The sequence below is a fragment of the Homo sapiens genome, chromosome 17 (genome assembly GCF_000001405.40).
Source record: "Homo sapiens chromosome 17, GRCh38.p14 Primary Assembly".
Classification (NCBI taxonomy): Eukaryota; Metazoa; Chordata; class Mammalia; order Primates; family Hominidae; genus Homo; species Homo sapiens.
Window position 1 is genome coordinate 9,827,174 of NC_000017.11, and position 25,439 is coordinate 9,852,612.

Here is a 25,439-nt window from a genome sequence, read left to right on the forward strand (position 1 = left end):
ACAGTTTTTTTTTTTAAACAAACACAGGCACATACTATAAATATTATTTTGTAATCTGCTTTCTTCATAACAAAATACACTAATAACACAGCTGACATCACTATGGAGCACTTGCTCTGCACTGGGTTGAGTGCCAGGTGCCCCCGTTCCTCATATTTTCTCCTTCTGTGTTCTCAGCAACCCTATAGACTGAGGTTCTCTTGTTAATCCCCTTTTACAGATGAGTAAACTGAGTCTCGGAGAAGTTGAGCAACATTCGTCCATGTTAGTAAATGTAGATCCATGGTATAATATTTAAGGGCTTTAAGGGTTTATTGTAATGTCTTTAACTATCCTCTATCGTTGGGCATGCTGGTAGCTTGCTTTATTCTATCCAAGAAGATTAGACCTTCGTCCTCTTTCCAAGTTTCCATTTGGATACTGGGCTATGGGCAGTATAAAAGGATGATGGGAAGGAACCCCAGTTCCACTTGTCTGAATAACGAAAGTAGCTTAAGGAATGGCTCAGACTGGGCACGGTAGCTCACGCCTGTAACCCCAACACTTTGGGAGGCTGAGGTGGGCAGATCACAAGGTCAGGAGTTCAAGTCCGGCCTGGCCAACGTGGTGAAACCCCGTCTGTACTAAAAAATACAAAAATTATCTGGGCATGGTGGTGTGTGCCTGTAATGCCAGTTGCTCAGGAGGCTGAGGCAGGAGAATTGCTTGAACCTGGAGGTGGAGGTTGCAGTGAGCCAAGATCACGCCATTGCACTCCAGTCTGGGCAGTAGAGTGAGGATCTGTCTCAAAAAAAAAAAAAAAAAAAAGGAATGGCTGTCTTCCTCCTTCGTTCCATGGGCAGGGTGAGTCCCTGTTCATGGTCTTGGAATTCTAAACCCCTCCAATCCCCATGTAGGGCAGGCTGTGGTACCAGGTCTCATGAGGGTTCACCTCAGGCTTTCTTTGTTGCAAGCCTGGGGCTAGACAGGCAGATAACCCCTGCCAGATTTCCTACATCCAGGTTCCCCTAGAGGCTGCCTTCAGGCCCTCATGGATTGTAAATGTGAGCCCAATCAATGGTTTCATGGAATTCTTGCCATCTTGGCAGCCTCTCCCCCAGTGACCAGAACATCCTTCAGGAAGGTGGCCCTGGCCTGCCTCTGGTCCCAGGACTTCAATGTGTTAGTGGTGGGACCATTTGGTGGGAGGGTTGGTTCAGAACATTCATCCTTGCTTCCATTCTCTGGATATCTCATATCAACACTGAGTGAGTGTATCCAGCTTATCATGTAGTTTTGTTCACAAATGTGGATTGCTGACCACATGCCAAGCCCTGAGACAGCGCTCAGGATATTATCATAAAATGCTTCCTCACACATCATCTTACTTAATCCTCAACACAAGCCTCTGAGAAGAGTGTTATTACTGAGCCCCTTTTACAGATGGGCAAATTAAGCTTCAGAGGAGTTAAATGGTTGCGTTCGATGCTGTAGCTCCTGAGCACTGTAGCCGTTGTGCCTACCCGGGGTGTTTGAAGCCCTGTGTTTTTTCTTCCGGAGTGCTCTTGGGAGTTGCTGATGTATGAATATTTATGTTACAACAGCGGAATCTGCAGAGCCTCGGGCCGGCTTACCAGGCTGAGAAAGCCACACCTTGACCCTTTCAGTCTGGTATTTTTATAATCAATAACATGTCTGCTGGCAGTGTCTGCTTCCACTCTCTGCCACCCAGTCTGCGTTTTCAGAGCATTTCTGGCTGTCTGTCCTCCGGGTGTGTCTGTAATTCTGATGGCCTTACTCTTGGTTCTCCATCTTAACCCCATATTCCTTTTCTAGATGTTTATATTACAAGGCTTTGTGAAGACTTTCATGATAAATTCTGCTCATAGCCTCTTTCCCTGCATGGAATATAAATGACTGTGGTGTGTGTTCTGGCAGGAAGTCTTCAAAAATTTCACTTAATGAGAAATTCTCAGGGATAGTTTAGTTTCTAAATTCAAGCAGGGAGGTAGTGTTATCCCCACACCACTCTCTCCCACACTCGTTTAAGTTATTTAGCAGTTGCTTTGGCATCAAAAACATAAACTATCTAAGGATTTTTGAGAAGTACATTGCGGCCCTTTTATACATGGATGGCAGGAGGGTAAAATGGTGCATATTTAAAATTTTTAATTTTTTTTTTTTTTTGGTGAGGGTAGACAGTTTGGCAGTCAAAAACCTTTAAAACTATGTGCATTCTGTGACCCAGAAATTCAAATTCAAAGAATTTCTAAGAAATAAAGATGTGCTCTCAAATGTTCAACTATGAGGATTTTAATCACAGCATCATTTACGTCAGCAAACATCTTAAAACAACATAGGCATTCAACGCTAGAGGATTTAAAAACTAAATTATATCACTTTTTTTCATAGAATGTTATGTAGCTGTTAAAAGGATGCTTTACTTCATTTATTATTTATTTCTTGAAATGGAAATATATTCACAATATTGGTCTTCTAATGAAACATAAAAGGCTTTGAAACAAGATTATTCCCTTTGAAGTCACAATAAAAAAGAAAAGAAAGACAATGAATGTGTCTTTCATTCACAGAGAGAAGAATCTGGAAGTAGATGGTAATTTCTGAGTAATGAGATGATAATTTCACCTTCTCCCCTTTTTGCATAGCTGTGATTTCTATTTCATCTACAGTGAAGTGTATTCCTTCTCTAACAAAGAAAAACAGATTTATTTAAAGAGAGTCAGTATAAGGATTTTTCTTTCCTTTTCCTTAATCCCTTCTCGGCCAAGTTCGTTGCTGATGCTGGTTGCCTATGCAAGGGAAAAGGAATCAAGGTCAAGCTGGACTTTTCCAGTTGGAAAAAAATTCACCCGTATATCTTCTTTCCTCATGACTTTGGGAATCTGGCTGTGATTGAACTTGGATGTACCCCTTGTGTTTTTTATGTCTTTAGGGCAAGGGAAGACAGTCTGAGTTTGTCCAGCTCTCCTAGACTGACAAAATTCAGTACTTTTTAGTTTTAGTTTGTTTTTCTGCTTTTGACTATGGCCATTGGCCATGGCAAAGAATGGAGGATAGGGGAACATTACTCCAGAGGCTGATTTTATTGTCTCTTCCTTAATCAGGTCCCGGAGAGGTCCCTGGGGTCATAAATAGTACTTTGTCCACCAATGGATCTTACACTGATGACTTGGAGGATTCTAGAAGCTTATTATTTGGTTAGCAACTCATCTGCTGAATTTGTAAAAATGATTTAGAGTCAGTTATGGTGCCATTAAAGATGTTTACTTCTTTAAACAATATGTTAATAACTTACATGCTTCCTCTTGGGCCGTAACTCAGAGAGAGATATTAATAGAGATTCCAAACTCATAGGAAACTGAAATCAAGGGATAAATGCCAATTATTGTATCATTATTATTACTTATTGGATAATTGCATGATTCTCAAACTGTGTGCTTGTATACCCCAGGGCACCACTGTGAACTCACAGGGGTGCTATGAGATATTTTAATTTTTCAAGGGAAGTACAGTGATATGTAGCATTTTCCAGACACCATGCAAACTACTAGCTTAAGGTATTCATGGTGTTAACATTAGATCTCACCCCCTCCCTTTTGATGATGTTGTCTCTTTGCAAAGCTGGGTTTTCCACAGGTCCTGTGATTACAAAGCAAGTATAGCACAAAAATCAGTGTGGAACAGGAAATAAAGGTGGTGGCATCCGATCTGATCCTAAAGCTTGAGAAGTTGTGCAATGGACAGCAGGCACTAAGCTGTTAAGGCATAAATATTTATTAAGTTGTTTGGACTTACTTACTTAATAAGTGGGGCTTTAGATATATCTTTTGGCCTAGAAGTGCTGTGGAAAAATTACTGAGTCAATAAGTTTGGGAACTGCTGGTCTAGTGATGACCACACTAGCTCTTCTTCAAAAAGTCGGCTGTGTGATTGTTGCTGCACTCCCTACTGGTATACCAGTCCTACCTCATTCTTTTGGGATAACCTTAAATCTACCTGGCCCTAGAAAACATTTGAGCTTGTTGCCCCTTGTGAGAAGAGAGAAAACCTTAAAGCCAAATGATTAACTGGGTGATATTAGCCCAGATCATTTACTGAACCCTTCCTCATCCTCCGTCTCACAAGTGAGCCTCTGGAAATGAAGGACAGCAAGAGCATTAACTCCAGCCCTGTGCTGGGGGCTTGTATTCAGAGATGAAAGACACCTCTCAGTCCTCAAGGAGCTTATGGGATAGGGAGGAAGATGGATAAGTGGCCCACCAATGACATTGCAGTGTGATGGGCCATAGGGATCGGTCATGCAGGGGAAGGGTGACAAGCTCAAGACTCAGGGAGATGAGTGGTTAAGTGTGGCCAAGGGTCTCTAGGCTTGAGTTGGGCCTTGAAGGATGACTAGGAGTTCACCAGGTGAAAATGAGGGCAGAAGCGAGTGCCAATGGGAAGTGCAAGGATGAGAAGTCATGAAGGAGCACGACTTGGGACAAGGATGGCTGAGATGCTAAATCCTGAGACCACAGGCCTTAAGTGGAAGACTGTAGGCAGGAGAGCCCTGTGCTCAGCTCTGGCCTGTTCTCCTGTCACTGTGGAGCAGTGTGGAGGGTGGATGGTGGCACCAGGCCAGAGGAGGAAAGGAAGACAGGGTTGGACAGGAGAGACGTTAAGGAGGTGGGGTCGATGGAACCTGGACAAGGGGAAGGGAGCTGCTGTGGACGACTCCTGGTTTCAGGTTTCTAATGGAGAGAACTGAGCCACACTTGGCATCGTAGGGATGCCAAAGACGACAGACCAGAATGCCCTTGGCCTTGCATGCCAGCCAGTTATATAGCTGCCGTCTCTAGAACAGATTCTAAGTCCTTTTTAGGGTAGGGGCTGTGTCTCGCTCATCTCTGTATCCTCTTTAATTCCTCCTTAACACAAGGCCTGGCCCACAATAGGTGCCTGATGAACAATAGAAGAGAAAGCCCTTTTTAAAATCAAAAGAAGCCCAGGTATAGTGGCTCATGCCTGTAATCCTAGCACTTTGAGAGGCCAAGGCAGGAGGATCATTTGAGCCCAGGAATTTGAGACCAGCCTGGGAAATGTAGCGAAATCCTGTCTCTACAAAAAATACAAAAATGAGGGCCCAGTGCAGTGGTTCATGCCTGTAATCCTAGCACTTTGGGAGGCTGAGGAGGGCGGATCACAAGGTCAGGAGTTCGAGACCAAGCTGATCAACGTGGTGAAACCCTGTCTCTACTAAAAATACAAAAATTAGCCAGCCACGCCTGTAATTTCACCTACTCAGGAGGTGAGGCAGGAGAATCGCTTGAACCCAGGAGGCGGAGGTTGCAGTGAGCTGAGATAACGCCACTGCACTCCAGCCTGGGTGACAGAGGGAGACTCCATCTAAACAACAACAACAAAAAAACTTAGCCGAGCATGGGGGCATGTGCCTGTAGTCCCAGCTACTCAGGATGCTGAGGTGCGAGGATCACTTGAGCCTAGGAGGCAGGGGTTGCAGTGAGCGGAGATTGTCCCATCACACTCTAGCCTGGGCAACAGAGTGAGGAGAACTTGTCTCAAAAAAGTAAATAAATAAAATAAAAATAAAATCAAAAGAAGTGGTACAGGTACACAACTAGAAGCTGTTACACAGCCCAGTTATCTGGAAAGCCCAAAACGTGCTATATTTCCAAGGTTCAGTGGCATGAAATAGTCAACGTTAGAAAGGAAAAAACTCCCAACTCCTCAGTAGCTTGATGAAGTCTCTCAGACACTTCTCTTTGTACTGAACCCACTTCCGAATTGACTTCTCAAGAATAGATCCGGGCCAGGCGCGGTGGCTCACACCTGTAATCCCAGCACTTTGGGAAGCTGAGGTGGGCAGATCACGAGGTCAGGAGATCAAGACCATCCTGCCCAACATGGTGAAAACCCATCGCTACTAAAAATACAAAAAAATTAGCTGAGCACGGTGGTGCGCACCTGTAGTCCCAGCTACTCGGGGAGGCTGAGGCAGGAGAATCGCTTGAACCCAGGAGGCAGAGGTTGCAGTGAGTTGAGATCGCACCATTGCACTCCAGCCTGGTAACAGATTAAGACTCTGTCTTAAAAAAAAAAAAGAAAGAAAGAAAGAAAGAAAAGATCCTATAACCTGAGCAGAAAAAATCATGGTCACCTCCAGAGCAGAGAATCTGTCTACTCAGAGCCTTTGAGCCTTTGACTTTGGACCTGCAGATACCTGGGCAATGCAGGCTTCTGCAATCCTCTGGTCCTTCTGTCACATTGTTGCGTCTTAGTGTGATGCGTCTCTCTTTGGGATCTACGTAGTCTTAGAAGCATGCAACTATTCATGTGGGAGGATGCAAAAGTTTAGGATAAGAATTTTGCGTACTCTTGAAATGTCAACTTCACTTAAAGGTTTTTAATTTTTTTTCATATTTGTATTAAAGCCAATATGATTAGGTTATGGAGTGAATGTAAAATTTGTATGTACTCTTAAGATAGAACATAAGATGCTGAAGAAATGCCATTTCTTTGCTGTGGGCCATTGTGGGCACTTCAGTGGGAAGGTTGGAGAATCATGGTGTGAAGTGACAACAAGGCCACATCTGTGCTTGGTCACTGGGGGTGACCATGTTTTTGTTTGCTCAGGTTACAGGATCCCTCCTTGAGGAAACGACTCGGAAGTGGGCTCAGTACAAACAGGCATGTCTGAGAGACTTACTCAAGGAACCTTCTGGTAAGCATGTGTATTAGTTATCCGTGGCTGTGTAACAAATTGCCCCAAAGCTTAGCGGCTCAAAACAATAACTAGTCACTTATTACTTCTCATAGTTTCTGTGGGTGAGGAATTCAGACAGGGCACACTGGGGATGGCTTGTTTCCGCTCTGTAATGTCTAGAGTTTAGCTGGAAGACTCCCATGGCCTCTACACTTGGCCGGGGCTTCCATACAGCATGATGGTGGGGTCTCTAAGGGCCTGCCTGACCAGAGGCCAGACTGCCTTTTATGACTTGGCCTTGGAAGTCATACAAGATCACTTTGGCCATGTTCAACTGGTCAGACAGCTACAAAGCTCTACTCAGGCTAACAGTACAGAAACACAGACCCCATGCCCCACTGTAAGGAAACATATGAAACCACATGTATGTGGATGTGGCCGTCTTTGATAAAAGCCATCTGCCATGGCACACTCATCACCTGATCATATGACATGATTATCTGCTGTAGATTAGCCTGGGAATCTGTTAAAGGAATGGGGGTGGGGGGCGCGGGTCTCCCATCTCCCAGGGCATTAACTAAATCTGAATAGTAACATTTCTCTTATCCAAGCATACACTAAGTTCAGAACATTCTAGCGAATATGTAATTGTTGTCTGCAGGCTGACTCTTCGGGTGCAGCCACGTGCACCATGCCCACCTCCAAAAGAAAAAAAGAAGAAAGTACCTTGGCCCGTTGCCTCTGAGCCTACTGAGGACAATCCCCGGCTCCGGCTGCTTTCAGATCATTTTATTCAGAGGCCTTGAGATTGACAGGACACTGTGAACTCTCCCTGTCTTTCTTCACCCAAAGGCAGTCCCAGGCTTCAAGCCCTTCCCAGCTCCCTTTGAAGACCTCATGGGCCCAGGCAGGTGGTAGTCAAGCCTTGAGATCAGCTGCAGGAACCACCTCTCGCTTTGGAGAACACTGCTTTCTGAGGTCAAGGTAAGGCAGGCTTTCATCCAGAGCCATGCCATGCACAGCTCAGGTGAGCACTGCCTTACCCAGACCAGGTGCTGACACCTGGCAGCCAGGTCGACATGGTGTCCCAAGCCAGCTCATAACCTAGCACCATGGTGTTTCTAAGATTTCAATGCCAGAAACCTGGCCTTTTTTTTTTTTTTTTTTTTTTGAGACAGAGTCTCACTCTGTTGCCAAGCTGGAGTGCAGTGGCGCGATCTCAGCTCACTACAACCTCCAACTCCCTGGTTCAAGAGATTCTCCTGCCTCAGCCTCCTGAGTAGCTGGGATTACAGGCGCCCGCCACCACTCCCAGCTAATTTTTGTATTTTTAGCAGAGACGGGGTTTCACCATGTTGGCCAGGATGGTCTCGATCCCCTGACCTCGTGATCCAGAATCCTGGCCATTTTAGCCTAATAGGGAGCAGATGGTGGGGAATGATGCTTGGCTTCCAGGAGTCAGGAGCCTGTAATATTAGAAGTTTGGGACCTAGTCTGAAATACTTCCATTTGATTCCAGGAGGCCCATAAGGTGGAGTTTTAAGGTTGTTGCTTCCCATTGCCAAACACCAGGGTAAATCATCCCCTGAGATGGTCCAAGTATCTAATAATGATCATTGAATTAGTGCTCAAATGGAGAGATATGGCAAATGGAGAGATATGACTATATAGTACTTGTGTTGGTTATGTGTGACCAAGGACCTTGATCTTGATCCTCCGTATTCCGCTGGTCGTTTTGTACATTCACAGAGTAAGTGTGCCCTGGGATCTAATTGGTGAAGGTTTGATGATTATTTAGCTGATTGTGGAACATAAGGCACTGGCTCAGCCTCCAAGAGTCCTCCTGTCCCCAAGTTTCTGTGAAAGTTTAGTTCATGTCGGTGGCTGGGCATGGTGTCTCATGCCTATAATCCCAGCACTTTGGGAAGCCGAGGTGGGCAGCTAACTTGAAGTCAGGAGTTCGAGACCAGCCTGGCCAACATAGTGAAACTGTCTCTACTAAAAATACAAAAATTAGCTGGGCATGGTGGCACATGCCTGTAGTCCTAGCTACTCGGGAGGCTGAGGCAGGAGAGTCGCTTGAGCCTGGGACGTGGAGGTTGCAGTGAGCTGAGATCACGCCATTGTACTCCAGCCTGGGCAATACAGTGAGACTCCATCTCCAAAAAAAAAAAAAAAAAAAAAGAAAGAAAGAAAGTTTAGTTCATGTCAAATAAAGCAAAATCAGCATGATGTGTACATTGACGTAATTGACCGGAGGTCAAGTTGGGCAGACGAATGCACATTCTTTGGGACTGCATTCAGCATTCCTGTGGTCCCCAAATCATTCCCCATCCTTGACTCATCTAGAGAGTGGGGCACCCATGCTGGTTTCTGCACAGGTTACACCAGCTTCCAGTGCCAGGAAGGTGGGCTCCCACGGTGCCTCTGCCTCCATCAGTGGCATCCCTGTGCTAAAACACTGATGTTTATCAGACCCTTCTTCTCTCTGTAGGCATATTTTGTAACGGGACATTTGATCAGTACGTGTGTTGGCCTCATTCTTCTCCTGGAAATGTCTCTGTACCCTGCCCTTCATACTTACCTTGGTGGAGTGAAGGTAATAAGTCTTATTTTTACCAATTTTCCCCAACCAAGTGCTTTTCTGAAGTCCTCTTCCCCCACAAACAGTCCCCGTCTAAGCTCTCAGTAATACATCTTCCTTCTGTAATTTTTCTATTCCTGGATGTTCCATTTATTTTTATGTATGTATGTATATATTTATTTTTATTTATCTTTGTGGTTACATAGTAGGTGTATATATTTGTGGGGTACATGAGATGTTTTGATACAGGCATGCAATGTGAATAAGCATGGAGAATGGGGTATCCATCCCCTCAAGCATTTATCTTTTCAGTTACAAACAATCCAATTACACTCCTTAGTTATTTCAAAATGGACGATCAAGTTATTATTATTATTATTATTATTACTATTATATATCTATTTTTTGAGATGGAATCTCGCTCTGTCGCCCAGGCTGGAGTGTGGTGGCGCGATCTCAGCTCACTGCAACCTCCGCCTCCCAGGTTCAAGCGATTCTCCTGCCTCAGCCTCCCGAGTAGCTGTGACTACAGGCACCCACCCCCACCACACTCGGCTAATTTTTTTGTATTTTTAGTAGAGACGGGATTTCACTGTGTTAGCCAGGATGGTCTCAGTCTCCTGACCTCAGGTGATCCACCCGCCTCCGCCTCCCAAAGTGCTGGGATTACAGGCGTGAGCACTGCGCCTGGCCGATTAAGTTATTATTGACTATCATCACCAGTTGTGCTATCAAAGAGTAGCTCTTATTCATTCTTTCTATTTTTTGTACCCATCATCCCTCCCCACCTCCACTGTCCCAGCCGCCCACTACCCTTCCCAGCCTCTGGCAACCATCCTTCTACTCTCTATGTCCATGAGTTCAATTGTTTTGATTTTTAGATCTTACAAATAAGTAGCTCTCGTACTTTGAAGCTTCTAGAGTACAGATCCAGCAGCCACTAAATTTGGCTGCAGTGGGGGTAAGAATGGCCACTGTCATGGAGAGGAGAAACAGGTGGGGGAGAAAGATTGGGATGCTAACCTCCACACAATTTTTGGGTTGTTAGATGGGGAAGAAGGATTTTCAAAGAACCCTTTGCATTCACATTGAAAGGAGGTGCCAATAGGTTAGTGTTTTTAACTCCCATGGGACTTGGATGGAGAATTTAACCACTTAGCTTGCTCTGATGCTGTTTCAAGGAAGTAAACATTACTTAGATACCCAGGATAATATCCCATCCCTACCAGCCCCAGAAGCCCAACCTCTTGGTTATTTTATTCTGAAAGAGGAGAGAGGTGATTACTGGTTAGATTCCTGTTGCCTTTTACCACAGACCACCAGCAAATACAAGGACAACTAAAACTGTTCTCAGGAAAGATAAGTGGTTACAAGCTCCAGGCAAAACAAGGTGAGAACCAGCTTCTGAGAGGGTAAGATGATAGCCTTTTGTATTTAATTTCAGCCCGATAAATCATCCCATTGTGCAACTTTAGTTTCAATGTTTTGCGCCTCTAGAGCAGAGAGAGAGAGAGTGTTTAGAAGGAAGATACATTTCTGGGTGGGAGAGTTAGTGACCTATTTTATGGAAGTGTTCTCTGATGAAATCCAGTTGGAATCATCCCAAGAAGCATGAGAATGTGAGATTTTAGGGAGGGTGGAAGAGATAACTCGCTGGATCGGAGGACTCTGAATGACTCAGGCACAGTACCCCTGGGAGCAGCTCAGTGAGGGAAAAGAGCACTGGGTGTGGAGTCAGGAGCCCCGAGGTCAGACCCAGTCCCTCTGTTTTACACTTTGGAGACTTTGGGCAAATTCCCACAGCCCCCTGAGCTTCCACTTCCTCATCTATGAAGGGAAGGAGAGTTGCTAATTCTGAAGGTCACTCCGAGGAGTCAATGAGAAGGCACTCACAGGGTGCGTCGCACAGCTGCCGCTTGGTCCGCGGGAGCTGAAGCTGAATCCAGGGAGGAGCCCCTTGGATTCCTTCAAGTCTAGAGGCCCCAAACACCTGGACTTCTCAGTAGCATGTGGAGCCGATCCCTACTTCTCTGCTCACTGTCTACCTGTCCCTCTCTGCTCACTGTCTACCTGTCCCTTTCCAAGAGCTAAAAACACAGATCCATTCCACTGTAAGAGAAAATGAAGTGTTCAAAAAGCCACATTTACAAAGAAGTTAAATTAAAGCCTCTTTAAAAAAAAAATAGGTTTTGGGCTTCTGGAATGTGAAGGGAGTGTGATTTGCAAGAGGTGGGAAGTTACTCTTCCACCCGCCATTCTGTGCATTAAATCTTTAGAATCCAAATGGATCCCTGCAGTGAAGAGAATGTGGAGACCGTGGAAGGGCGCAGAGGAGAACATGTGCAAATGCACAGAGTGGAGGAGAGTCCCTGTGAGATGGGAGAGAGGAAGGAGCTTGGTAATATCAGAAGAGGGAGCGCCTGGCGCCTGTAGTCCCAGCTACTCCGGAGGCTGAGGCAGGAGAATGGCGTGAACCCGGGAGGCGGAGCCTGCAGTGAGCCCACATTGCACCACTGAGCGCCTGATGGCAAACAGAAGCTGTAACTGACGACTGAGGCTGGGGGCTGATGACGAAGGAAGCTGGGTGTTAGTCACTAGGGTTTCAAGCTTTCTTCTGTAGAGGAAGATTATGTGGAGTCCCAGAAGGTGTTAAGGCATAAAAATGGAGCACAAGTTGTAGTCTGGGAGAATGACATTGAGAGCATGCAGCTATTGGACACAGGAATGGAGGAACCAAGGAGGAGAGTGGGGAAACTACTGCAGTGTCCCAGAAAACAGCATGCTAAGGGTCTGGATTCTGGCAAGGGCAAGAGGGCAGAGAGAAGGAGAAAGATTAAAGTGTTGGAGGCAGAATGCTCAAGACTTGTCATCAATTGGAGTAGAAACTGAGGGACAGGGAGGAGTAGAAAATGGAGGAGAGGAAAACAAACTCCTCTTCCTTCTCCTCCTCCTCCTTCTCCGCCTCTCTTCCCCATCTAAGGAATGGTCTCAGGGTCCACCTGGCCCCACCCAAGCCCACATCTCAACCAGTGGGTAGCCAGGTCTTCCATCTCCTCCTCCCCTCCATCCCTCACTGCTGTGGGCTCACCAGCACCCTCTGCTGCTTCTCCATGGCCTCCTCTCCAGTCCCTGCCTCAGATCTGGCCCCCTCCAGGCACCTTTGGAAAAGCTTTCTAAAATATCATTCACATTCTGTCTCCCCAGCATCACGACTCCTACAAATGGCATGCAAGACCTCCTGCTGCCTGGCCCTGCTGACCTCGTTAGCACTCTCCCCCACGTTCAGGGTTCCCTGCACTCCAGCCCAATGAGCAACTCCCAGGCTCTGCACCTGGTCCAGCTCTTGCCACTCAGTACCTTGGCTCGCACACCTGCCCAGGAGGCCTCCTCACAGGCTCTGGCCATGCTCCTCTGCCTATAAAGCCCCTTGTAATTCTCAGCTCAATCCTTTCCTCCTTCTAGAAGATTTCTCAGACCTCTCCCCTCAACTACAGACCTCTCCCCTCTGCCTTTCTGAAGCCTCTTTTTTTTTTTTTTTGGAGACAGAGTCTTGCTCTGTTGCCCAGGCTGGAGTGTGCCGATCTTGGCTCACTGCAACCTCTGCCTCCTGGGCTCAAACAATTCTCCTGCCTCAGCCTCCCAAGTAGCTGGGATTACAGGCACACATCACCATACCAAGCTAATTTGTGTATTTTTAATAGAGACAGGGTTTCACTATGTTGGCCAGGCTGGTCTCGAACTTCTGACCTCGTGAACCTCCCGCCTTGGCCTCCCAAAATGCTGGGATTACAGGCGTGAGCCACCGCACCCGGCCTCTGAGGCCTCTTCTATACCTGTGCAGTCTTCTGTCTTAGCATTTATAATCGTTTACGGCGATTTTTCTTTGCACTCCCCCAGCCAGAGCTGAGCCCTATTTGTATCTTTGCATTCCCAGCACAAAGCATTATGGCTAGTACAGACAATGCAAGTGTCAAGTGACATTCTTACCATTCACTCATTCAACTAATATTTATGAAGCACCTGTTGTATGCCATGCATTATTTTTAAGTGCTTGGGATATATTAGTGACAAAAACCGAGTAAGATCTCTCTCCTCGTGGGGCTTACATTCTTGCAGGAGAGACAGACAATTATCAATAAGCATCATAAATAAGTGCAGACTATGTTTGAATGTGATCTATGTTAAACAAGATGGGGAAGGGAAGGGATGGGATGGTTGGAGTGGGGTGATGTGTTGCACCTGTAAACTGGGTAGTTAAGGAAGTCTTCGATGGCAAGGTGACATTTTGGTGAAGATGTAGAAAAGGTAAAGGTTTTAGAGGGAGGGTGTTCAGGAGGGAAGGAGACAGCAGGTCAATGGCGCTCTATGCGGGGACCATGCCTGGCCTGTTCCATGAAGAGAAGTAGGCAGATGTGGCTGTGGTGAAGAGGGGAGAGAAGCAACAGGTTACAACAGAGAGTTACGGGCCAGATCTTAGGGGGCTTCGTGAAAGGCCAGAAGACTTTTTCTCAGAAAGCCCTTGGAAGATTTGGAGAGAAGCATGACATGGTGTGGCTAATTTTTTTTTTTTTTTTGAGACAGAGTCTCCCTCTGTCACCCAGGCTAGAATGCAATGGCGTGATCTCAGCTCACTGCAACCTCTGCCTCCCAGGTTCAAGCAATTCTCCTGCCTCAGCCTCCCTAGTAGCTGGGACTACAGGAGCTCGCTACCATGCCTAGCTAATTTTTTTTTTTTTTTTGTATTTTTAGTAGAGACAGGGTTTCACCATGTTGGCCAGGCTGGTCTCGAACTCCTGACCTCAGGTGATCCACCCACCTCGACCTCCCAAAGTGCTGGGGTTACAGGCGTGAGCCACCACGCCTGGCCTGTGTGGCTGATATTTTATTCAGCTTGCTCTGACTGCTGGGTTGCCCACAGATGTGAGGGGCAGGACTGTCAGAGGAGTCCCATCTCCCGGTGGGAGGTGATGGTTCCACAGGATGGAAGCAGGAGGTGAAAGTGGCAGTCAGATTCTGGGTACAGATGAAGGCAGGGATGACAGATTAGCTAGAGGACCTGAGGAAGGCTATGAGAGACAGAAGGGGAGGGTGACTCTGAAGTTTAGGGCCGGGGGATTGGAAGGACGGGTTTGCCATCCACTGAGGTGGTAAAATAGGTGGGTGGAGCAGATTTTGAAAAGAAGAAAAAGGGTGTGGTTTGGAGTGTGTTGTTTGAGATGTCAATTAGACACCCTACCTAGCAAAGCTGTCAGGGGAGTAGGGGGCTATACCCTTTGGTTGTCCATTCATTGAATTCAGCATATAGTTACTGTTGGCCCATGATATGCAGGGCCAGGACTAGGAAGGACCAACAGATTTCGACTTCTCGTTTGCAAGCTCAGCCTCTAATCCTCCAGGTGGAGGACCTTCTGGGAGAGTCTCCTGGGATAGATGTGACTGAGTCACAATGGCAGTCTGTATGCGCAGAGGGATTTTTCTCATCATTTTCACATACACTTTCATTTAATCCTTTCCCAAATCATGGAGAGTTGGTACCAATTATTATCCCCAGTTCCTGATGAAAACAGAGGAAGGCTTAGAGGTTAGGAGAGCTAGGCCCAGGACACACTCATGCATGGATGGCGCATCCGGCTTCAGCCCCAGTCTGTCAGCCACGTGCCCACCACTTTCTCTTCTGCATGGCATGAGCCTCAGGAAGAGATGCCCCACCTAGCAAGCATCAGGAGCCCAGATTGGCATCTCCCAGCTGGGCTGAACCTTGGAGGGCTTATAACATCACTGAGTCACCAGAGGCTGTTCTAACTCCAGAGACTTTGGGTAAACACAGCAGACATTAGCAGACCATGGTGTGTTACAAAATTGAGAAGCTTCCATGTTTTCCTTTCCATCCCAAATAAACAGTGAGGATGTTAATGAGCCCCCAAAAGGGGAAATGAAAATCCCTTCTCCCTGGGATTTTCCACAGCTCTGTGGCATGCTCAGGGGAACGGGCTGTGTGTTCTGACCTTTCCTCCAGAGCTTTGTTTACTTTCAGAGAGCTCAGGAAGGGCCTACAGACACTGCTTGGCTCAGGGGACTTGGCAGACGATAGAGAACGCCACGGATATTTGGCAGGATGACTCCGAATGCTCCGAGAACCACAGCTTCAAGCAAAACGTGAGTTTGCTCAGCTCAGTGAGGAGGCATCCAGGGTCCAAACCACCCTCCTTCGGGACACCCCAGTGGCCTGCTGGCTCCAGGGGCCACACAAAGAGGCTTCTCCAGCGCCTCTCCCCGGGGAAGCTAAGGAAGGTCCCGCAAAGCAGCAACCCTTGTGGCGGCCATGGAATTTCTTCCACTACTAGGCTGACATGCAAAATCCTAAGAGAAGTCAGTCTTCCAGGATTGATCCTGGCATTTGTGCTTGCTGTTCCCCGTGCCTGGAGCACCTGTCCCAGCTCCCCTGTGGCTGGCTCCTTCTCACCATCCAGGGTTCAGTCCAAATATCTCCTTCAAAGAGAGATCTTCCAGGGTCACCTAATCCAGAGAGTGCCCTCTATGGTTGCCACATCCCCCCGACCCACCACCCACCACCCCCCACTTCGACTCCTTTATGGCACCTGCCCCTCCCTGAAATTCTCACTGTTGCTTATTTGTTATCTAGCCCTCTCATCAGAATGTAGATCCACTGGTGACAGGGGACTTGTGTGCCTCGAGGGAGTGGCATAGCACAGGGTCTAGGGTCAGGCAGCCCTATTTCCATTCCAAATAGTAAGAATGTTAATAAGCCCCCAAAAGGGGAAACGAAACGTCCCTTATCCTTGGGATTTTCCACAGCTCTGTGGCATGCTCAGAGGAACAGTCTGTGTATTCATATCCAGACTCTGCTCTTCCCGGCTGTGAACCTGGTGCAAGTTACCTCATCTTCTTGGGCCTCTGCTTCCTCATTCATGCCACAGGGATCATATTTGCTACATGTGACGTTGTGAGGATTTAGTCATCAGACATCAGTTTCTTAGGAGAAAACCTGGTACACGGTCAGCATGGTCTATGCAGGCACTCCTGCCCTATCCCCAGGGTCTACCACAGTAACTGGTCCGCAAGTCCCCATGGCTTCCCAGGAAAGGTTTTTTGGATGAACAAACAAATCCATGCTTCAGACTTCTCTCCACATGTGTTCTTTCCAGAATCCTTCTGCACCATACTTTCTCGTTGGACTCTTGCTCTTCTCCCTGAGGACCTCCTGTTTGTCCAACATCTGCTCACTTTCCTTCAAAGTGCAATGCAAGAGGCTGCACAAAGCGGAGGAACAGGTGTTTGGGGATCAGACAGATATCTACGGCCACACCTTGGTTTCTTTCATTCCGATGGTCAGGCCACAAACAGTAATGAAGCATATACGATGGGTTAGGTTTTTGCACCAGGCACTGGGAATAAACAGGGGATAGCACGTGGATACTGCCTCCAGGGAGCTCAGAGTCTTGTGATCTTGTGAGGCATAGGGACAGTGTGATCGTTGCTGGGAGGGAAGTGTCAGATGCCCAGGGTCATGGAGGATGGGGAAACTGATGCAGACAGGGGACCAGGAAGGCTGCTCAAGCCTAGCCCTGCAGGGTGAGAAGGAGATGGCCATAGTAAGAGAGAGAGCAAAAGGGAGAAACACACCTAGGGTCAAAGAGCTCACGGGGCTCTGGGGCCACCTTGAGTGCTGCTGGGCAGGTGAGGTAGGGCCTGAGGAGGACACAGGTGGAGGTAGAGGCCTCGGGAGAGGTAGGTGGTGAAGGCCTCCTGTGCCCGGTGAAGGACTTAGGACTTTGTATATTGAAGTAGGAGAGGGACATAACTAACTTATGTGTTGACAGATTTGTCCTGGCAGATTGGAGAGGAGTGAACTTGTCAACACATGAGTTAGTTATGGAGATCGGAGACTGGGGCCATGCTGGAGGCAGAAGGCAGGGACAACAGGCAGGAACCGTGGCAGCAACTCAGGCCGGATAGGAAGAGAGCGCCCAGGGGTGGAAGAAGAGGGAGGGTGGACTCATAGGTTTACCGAGGAGCAAAACGGTAGGACCTGGCTGGTGCTGGAGGCTGTGAGAGGGTAGAGCCAAGGACAACAAGATCGCAGGCTTCTGGCTTGGACCCTTGAGGAGACTTAAAAATGCCCCTCCCTGAGAAGGATACAGGGAGAGGCCTTGCCCTTTGGATTCTCAATATTTTACTACCTAATTCTTTTTTTTTTTTTTTTTTTTTTTTTTTTTTTTTTTTTTGTGAGGCAGAGTCTCGCTCTGTCACCTAGGCTGGAGTGCAATGGCATGATCTTGGCTCACTGCAACCTCTGCCTCCCGGGTTCAAGCAATTCTCCTGCCTCAGCCTCCCAAGTACCTGGGACTACAGGTGCGTGCCACCACGCCCGTCTAATTTTTATATCTTTAGTAGAGACGGGGTTTCACCATGTTGTCCAGGCTGGTCTCGAACTCCTGACCTCAGGTGATCCACCCGCCTTGGCCTCCCAAAGTGCTGGGATTACAGGCATGGGCCACCGTGCCTGGTCCTTTCTACCTAATTCTGTGCCCTAATTTGAACCTGCAAAACACCCCCACTCTCCGCCACTCCCAAGTTGTGGCTTTTTTTTTTTTTGAGATAGAGTCTGTCTCTGTTCCCCAGGGTGGAGTGCAGTGACGCGATCATGGCCCACCACAGCCTCCACCTTCCAGGCTCAAGTGATCCTCCCACCTCAGCCTCCTGAGTAGCTGGGACTACAGGTGCACACCACCACATCTGGTATTTTTTGTAGAGACAGGGTTTCACCATATTGCCCAGGCTGAATTGTGGCTTTATTTCATGATTTAGTTGGAATTCTTTAGCTCTCTAAAGTCATTTAAATATTATCCCATTAAATGTTAAAGATATTCTATACAATAAAGTCTGGGGACAGGGGAAGGCAAGGAGTTCAGTTTTAGAAACACTATTCTTGTCACGGGAGCCACCTAGCCTCTCTGCAGGCATCGTAAGATGGGGTTGAAAATACCCGCTTTGCAGGCTTAGTTGTGAGGCTTCAGAGGGCAATGAATGTGGAGTGATTCATCCACCTCCTGGCACACAATAGGCATTTGATAGTTGTGATTATTGCGTTTCTTTTCTTTTCAGACTATCTTCCCTGGACCCTACAAACACTTCTCTCCCTCCCTGGCCTCTCTGGTTCAGTCCTAGGGCTGTGATCATAGTTCACTTGTCATTGTGAGTTTTTTGGTGTCTGTGATGGTAGCTTTTCTGCATTGGCTATTTGGTTGGATTTATGTGTGTGTGTGCGTGTGTGTGTGTGTGTGTGTGTGTGTAATATTTCATTTGACTTTCAAAAGCCAAAAACCTAGCTTTTTGTTAAGTTATTAAGGTCAATGCTATTTCATATAGTTTTTTATTCTATTTATAAATCTAGTAAGTTAGTCTACTTTCGTAGAGGTCTCTGATTAATTTTTGTTGACACAAACAAGTTATTTACATATCCTTTTACATTTTAAGCTGCGCTATTACATTTGATATGCTTTAGACATTTAAACTATGTTAAATAATTGTTATAATAAGAAAATCTTTCTTATTTTAAAATAATTCTAGTTCATCGAATACATCAACTTTATATGTTGAGTCTTAAATTTTCCTAAATATGTCAATACTGTTTTCATCACGGTTTCAACTTAAAGTTGAAAATCAAGTACGCTTTGATGTATTTCATATTGGAAGCTTAATACTAACCTATTAGGTCCTCTAATATGTCATATTCTCTAAATAATACCAATTGCATACAGATTGTGCAAGTAATTTAAAAAACTGCTATATGAGGGATAGACCAAGGGGTAGATATGGGGCGATACCACATAAAGTTTAATGTTTGTTAGAGGCCAGCTGCAGTAGCTCAGGCCTGTAATCCCAGCGCTTTGGGAAGCTGAAGTGGGAGGGTTGCTGGAGCCCAGGAGTTTGAGATCAGCCTGGGCAACACGGCGAAACCCCATCTCTAAAAAATCAATACAAAAATTAGCTGGGCATGGTGGTGTGCACCTGTAGTCCCAGCTACTTGGGAGGCTGATGTGGGAGGATCACTTAAGCCCCAGGAGGTTGAGACTGTAATGAGCTACGATTGTGCCACTGCACTCCAGCTTTGGTGACAGAGTGAGACTCTGTCTCAAAAAACAACGAACAAACAAAAAACAGTTTAATGTTAGAATCTAAGTGGTGGATATACAGATGTTCTTTATAAAGTTTCTTTAACTTTGGTGTATGTTTGAAATTTTCATAATAAATATTGAGGACAAATAAAAAAATTCTATACCTGAATTTAACACAAAACATTAATCAATGTAGTGGTGCGATCAAACCTTGCCAAGATTAAGACACAAAACAAACACTTTCACACTAAGGAGACAAACTGGTCCAAGAAAGTAGGGGTTTCCATCTCAGGAGACATGGTTGCCTGTAGACCAAGATTTGTTTGTTCTGGTTGTCAATACCAGTGGTGTAGGTGTGTTAGTAAATGTTAACAACAGGCTCCCTGCTTCCACTCCTGAAGAAAGAAAGGCTAGGATTTGTTAACACTTGCCAATTTTGGTGGCATTAATGCCCCCCATGGCCAATTTCAAGCTACCAGTGTGACCGCAGAGGATGCACAGTAGCGCAGCGTTAGACATGTTTCTCCTCATGCAGATACAACAGCAAAAATAACCCCAGTGGCACTGAACACAGACATGTAGAAATGTAATTAGGAAGTGATGAATTTGGAGTATTTATTGCTTTTATTCTGAATATAATTTATTCATTGTAAATTTACATCATTTAATTTTTTTTTCTTTTTTTTTGAAACGGAGTTTCGCTCTTGTTGCCCAAGCTGGAATGCAGTGGCACGATCTCGGCTCACTGCAACCTCCGCCTTCCGGTTTCAAGCGATTCTTCTGCCTCAGCCTCCAGAGTAGCTGGGACTACAGGGGCACGCTGCCACACCCGGCAATGTTTTGTATTTTTAGTGGAGACGGGGTTTCACCATGTTGGCCAGGCTGGTCTCGAATGCCTGACCTCGTGATCTGTCCGCCTCAGCCTCCCAAAGTGCTGGGATTACAGGTGTGAGCCACCGCGCCCGGCCATCGTTTAATTTTTAAGAATGCTCATGTTTTGCAACTGGTTCCCTGAAAATTTGCCAATCAGTTCTCACAAGCCAGGATGACCGTACCACTGGGTCTACCAGGGTGACTTTTTTCACTCTTGCCAACAAGTTGAGCCCCAGGTTCATGTCCATTAGAGAAGGCTGATCGTATTCAGGTTCTACACGTTTCATAAACTAGCTATTTGGTCTAACAGGAGCCATCTGGTTCGGGCTCTGTTCCTTCAGAGCCTCGTGGGTGTTGGCATGTCCTTGGCTCCCTTAAGTGTATCCTAATCTTCCATCAAGGCGCAGTGGCTCATAAGTATGATCCCAGTGCTTTGGGAGGCTGAGGCGGGAGGGCTGCTTGAGGCCAGGAGTTTGAGACCAGCCTGCTCAACATAGCAAGATTCCATGTCTAATCTTCCATCAGACGTGAAGAACCTTCAACTGGATACTCCACATCCTCAGGGAATTCTGTCTAAACCTCTTACTTTCCTACTGGATTTGAGTTAACAGAATCCTGTGATCCTTATACAGTTTTACTGTGTGAGATATCACACCTCTTAAAGGGATCAGAAGGACACCTGTAGTTGGATTAGATCCGGTTTATCTCAAGAATTTGTCTGACTTTTTTCACATCAAAGTTGTGCTAATGGCATGCCTTGAATTAGGCAAACTGTGTATTTTTTTTCTCCTGGGCTTCAAACTGTTTGAGAACAACAACAAAGTCACAGTTATATTTGACTATCACCCCCAAACCTCTGACCTAGTACTGAGGTGCACAGTGGCCTTTGCATACAGTAGGCACTTAATAAATACTACATGAATGGCTTCACAAATTCTGAGCCAATTGGTCTGTAGGGGGGTCCAGCCATCAATACTAGTTCCAAAGTTCCCCAGATGATTCTAATATGCAGCCAAGGTTGAGAACCACAAGTGTGCGGACACAGTAGCACCATCCCCAAGTCAGCAAATGGGGAGCGCTAAGCAAGATTTGAAAACTGCGCTTTCAAAAACAGGAAGTAAAGATTTCTCTCTTCGGAAAAGTGAGGACAAGAGCATTGCCTCCTCCCCTCTGCAAATGGCCATATTTCCAAGAATTCAAATACTTAACAAAAAAAACAACTTCTGGCCATGTTTACCTGTGTTTCTAATAGAGGGTTGAAATTTTGCCCAAAAAAGGCCAGTGTTAGTAAATCTTTGCCCTTCAGAGTTTTGGCAAACAAAATATGTTATGTTCTTCCAACTAACGAGATGCTGGGGGTCCTTATGCATGTTAAATGGCACTTTTAAAGGAGATTGTGTGTGTGTGTGTGTGTGTGTGTGTGCGCTCACATAAGCATTAACAAGTGTGTTTAGATGACTTAGTATGGAATTGCGTTTAATGGAATGAAAATAAATTACTATGCCTTACTTTGTCCTTTAAAAAGTGCGTCTATTCTTAAATACATAATTTAATTAATACATACATATGAATTCATATATCTGTATATAATTTTAATATATGGCATATAATTTTAATAATACGTTTAAAATTTTAATATAATTTATAATATATCCATTGATTATATATGATTTTTCCAACATTTTATTTTGAAATATTGAAACATATAGAAAAATTAAAAGAATAATATAGTAGACACTCATATACCCAGTATTTAGATTCAAAATGTAATAACATTTTGCCACATTTGCTTTCTCTCTGTTTCTTTCTGAAATATTCAAAACTAATTTGTAGACATCATGAGATTTCACCCCTAAATTCATCGGGTACCTCCTAAGATTAAGGACATCATTCTACACAACTACATTACCATTATTTCAACCAAGTAAAATTAACAGTGATTTTTATCACATGGCCTATTTCATCCATATTTAATATTTTTTCCAATTGTTTTCCCAAACTTTTATAGCTTTTCTGCCCTAGAAATATTTCTCTCTCTTTCTTACAGCTGGATAGTATTTCACTTAGCATATCCACCAGTTTGTTCAGCCACTGTCCTATGACCATCTGGGTTATTTCCAATCTTTTTCTCTTTCTTTTTTTTTTTTTTTTTTTTTTTGAGACAGAGTCTTGCTCTGTCGCCCAGGCTGGAGTGCAGTGGCGTGATCTCGGCTCACTGCCAGCTCCGCCTCCTGGGTTCACGCCATTCTCCTGCCTCAGCCTCCCGAGTAGCTGGGACTACAGGCGCCCGCCACCACGCTCGGCTAATTTTTTTGTATTTTTAGTAGAGACAGTGTTTCACCATATTAGCCAGGATGGTCTTGATCTCCTGACCTCGTGATCCACCCACCTCGGCCTCCCAAAGTGCTGGGATTACAGGCATGAGCCACTGCGCCCAGCCTATTTCCAATATTTTATTCCTAAAACTGCCACAGTGAATAATCTCAGATGTTTATGTTGGCTTATATTTGTGGCAGTATATCTTTTGGAAGATTTCTAGAAGTGGGATCACTGGATTAAAGGCAGGTGCATATATAATTTTGTTAGACATTGCCATCGGGGTTATACATTTGTCCTCCCTTCAACTATGTATGAGAGTACCTGTTTCCTCGTTGGGTGCGTATCACATATTGGTTAGGAAGCTTCTCATAAAGGTGTCTAAGTGACATAAGATTCACCTGTTGGTACTAAGCGTGAGCTGGAGACCTGATGTTTTGGAGCCTCTAGGAAAGTAGCCAGGTTTTGTTAGAGACCTTAATGTAGAGGACAGTTGAACAAAATCCTGTAAAAAAGTACAATTAAACCAACTGTAGCAGGTGCTCTTGGCGCCCTGCCCGTATCCCTTTGCCCTAATCAATTCAGTACACAGCTGCTTAACTTCTTACCACAAGTGCATGCATTTCTTTGCTGGTTCTCTGGTTCCTGAAGCCCACTTGTTCGTTGAAATGCAGGCCATAAGTGCCATGAAATTAATGTGCCTTGGAAGTCACCTTCAATCGATGACTGGCAAGATTTGGTATGTTTCTATACCAACTCCCTTGGTCTTGGGGTTAGTTGACTCTGAGGATTCCAGAGCTTCCCCAGTGGGATTAAGCTCCAGCTTCCCACCATGGTAGCTGGCTTGATAACCCATGCTTTATTTGTGCTAAGTGCTCCCTTACCCTACCGATGATTTTTTCACTTTTTTTTTTTTTTTTTGAGCCGGGATCTCTCTCTCTCTCACCCAGGCTGGAGTGCAATGGTGCAATATTGGCTCACTGCAACCTCCACCTCCAGGGTTCCAGTGATTCTCCTGCCTCAGCCTCCTGAGTAGCTGGGAATACAGGCGCACACCACCATGCCCAGCTAATTTTTGTATTTTTAGTAGAGATGGGGTTTGCCATGTTGGCCAGGTTGGTCTCGAACTCCTGAACTCAGGTGATCCTCCTGCCTGGGCCTCCCAAAGTGCTGGGATTACAGGCTTGTGAAGCACCATGCCCAGCTGATTTTTTTTTCACTTTCTATGCAAGCTGCCTGCATTCCAATTCTTGTCTCAGGATCTGCTTCTTGGAAACCCAAACTAATTAGGACACAGACAAAAAAAAGACATGTCCCCTAATTTGTTCCTAGAAAGCACAAAACACACACGTGTTTTAAAAATCATAATTTAGAAACAAATAGTTAGGTTATTTAATTAAATGTGTTAGCCTCATATCTCCAATAAAATAAATCATGCTATTCGACCCAGTAATGTCTTGATATGCCACAGAAATAGTCAATTTAAAGAAACTACACCACTCTGTGTGCAGAAGCACAAAACACTTCTTTACTTTCAAGGTGTTTCATAGTCTATCTGGAAAGACAAGATGAATGAAAGCAAAGCATTATTGAATAATACAATTGACACCCTATTTGTGAAACAAACCACAAGTACTTTGACAATAAGAGTTGACAATAAGCAGAGAGACATTTGAGGAGGATTTCTTATAGGGGGTAGGTTTGTGCTGGTCTTAGAGGGAAAGACTTAGTTTCAAGGAGAGGCAAACAAGCACAGTTGGAGACTGACAAGATTGTAGGGATCTAGATGAAGTCCATAGAGAATAATTCTAGAGAGAAACGTGGTTGGGATTGATCTGGAAGAGCTCAAAGTCTACACCGAGAGTTCTGCCTCCAGACCACCACTGCAAAAAATGATAACAGAGAAAGAAAAAAACATACGACATAGACATTTTAATCTACAAAAAGGAATGAAGAACACTAGAAATAGTACATATAAAGGTAAATTTTTATCTCATTTAAAAAATGTTCTAAAAAGAGAAATAAATTTAGTTTTTAAAATCACACAAAATATATTAGAAATCAAAAACAGTAAGTTGCTTGGAAAATTCCCCAAATATTAAAAAAAAAATAACAACATACTTCTAAATAACCCATGAGTCAAGTAAAAAAGTATAAAATAAATTAGTAAATATTTTAACTAAATAAAGACAAAAATACAATATGCCAATAATTTTGTGATGCAACCAAAGCAGTCATGGAGAGAAATGTATAGCATTTGTTTTTTTTTTTGTTTTTTTTTTTACTTTAAGTTCTGGGATACATGTGCAGAACGGGCAGGTTTGTTACATAAGTATACATGTGCCATGGTGGTTTGCTGCACCCATCAACCCATCATCTAGGTTTTAAGCCCCACATGCATTAGGTATTTGCTGTAATGCTCTCTCTCCCCTTGGCCCCAACCCCCTGACAGGCCCCCGTGTGTGATGTTCCCCTCTCTGTGTCCATGTGTTCTCATTGTTTAACTTCCACTTATGAGTGAGGACGTGTGGTATTTGGTTTTCTGTTCCTGTGTTAGTTTGCTGAGAATGATGGCTTCCAGTTTCATCCATGCCCCTGCAAAGGACATGAACTCATTCTTTTTTATGGCTGCATAGTATTCCATGGTGTATATGTGCCACATTTTCTTTATCCAATCTATAGCATTCTTATATTAGAAAATTGGAAAAATATCAAGTCAGTGGCCTAACTGCCATCTTAAGAAACTAGGAAAAAAACCTCAGCAAATTAAACTCAAAGTAAGCAAAAGAAAAGAATTACAAAGTATGAATAGAATTTAATTAAA

At 45.0% G+C, this 25,439-nt stretch overlaps 1 protein-coding gene across 5 annotated transcripts in view; it reads left to right on the forward strand.

The window, feature by feature from the left end:
• GLP2R (glucagon like peptide 2 receptor) overlaps positions 1–25,439 on the forward strand; it is a 66,176-nt gene that overhangs the window by 1,250 nt on the left and 39,487 nt on the right. The window contains exons 2-5 of one of the 5 annotated variants that reach the window (XM_011524077.4): positions 6,634–6,721; positions 9,198–9,302; positions 10,603–10,677; positions 15,322–15,443. The exons of 1 other annotated variant lie outside the window; for it this stretch is intronic. In XM_011524077.4, the coding sequence (XP_011522379.1) occupies positions 6,634–6,721; positions 9,198–9,302; positions 10,603–10,677; positions 15,322–15,443 (390 nt within the window). Of the gene's footprint in view, positions 1–6,633; positions 6,722–9,197; positions 9,303–10,602; positions 10,678–15,303; positions 15,444–25,439 lie in introns of all 5 variants that reach the window. 3 more of the 5 variants (XM_017025339.2, NM_004246.3, XM_017025340.2) reach the window with 3 other exon arrangements.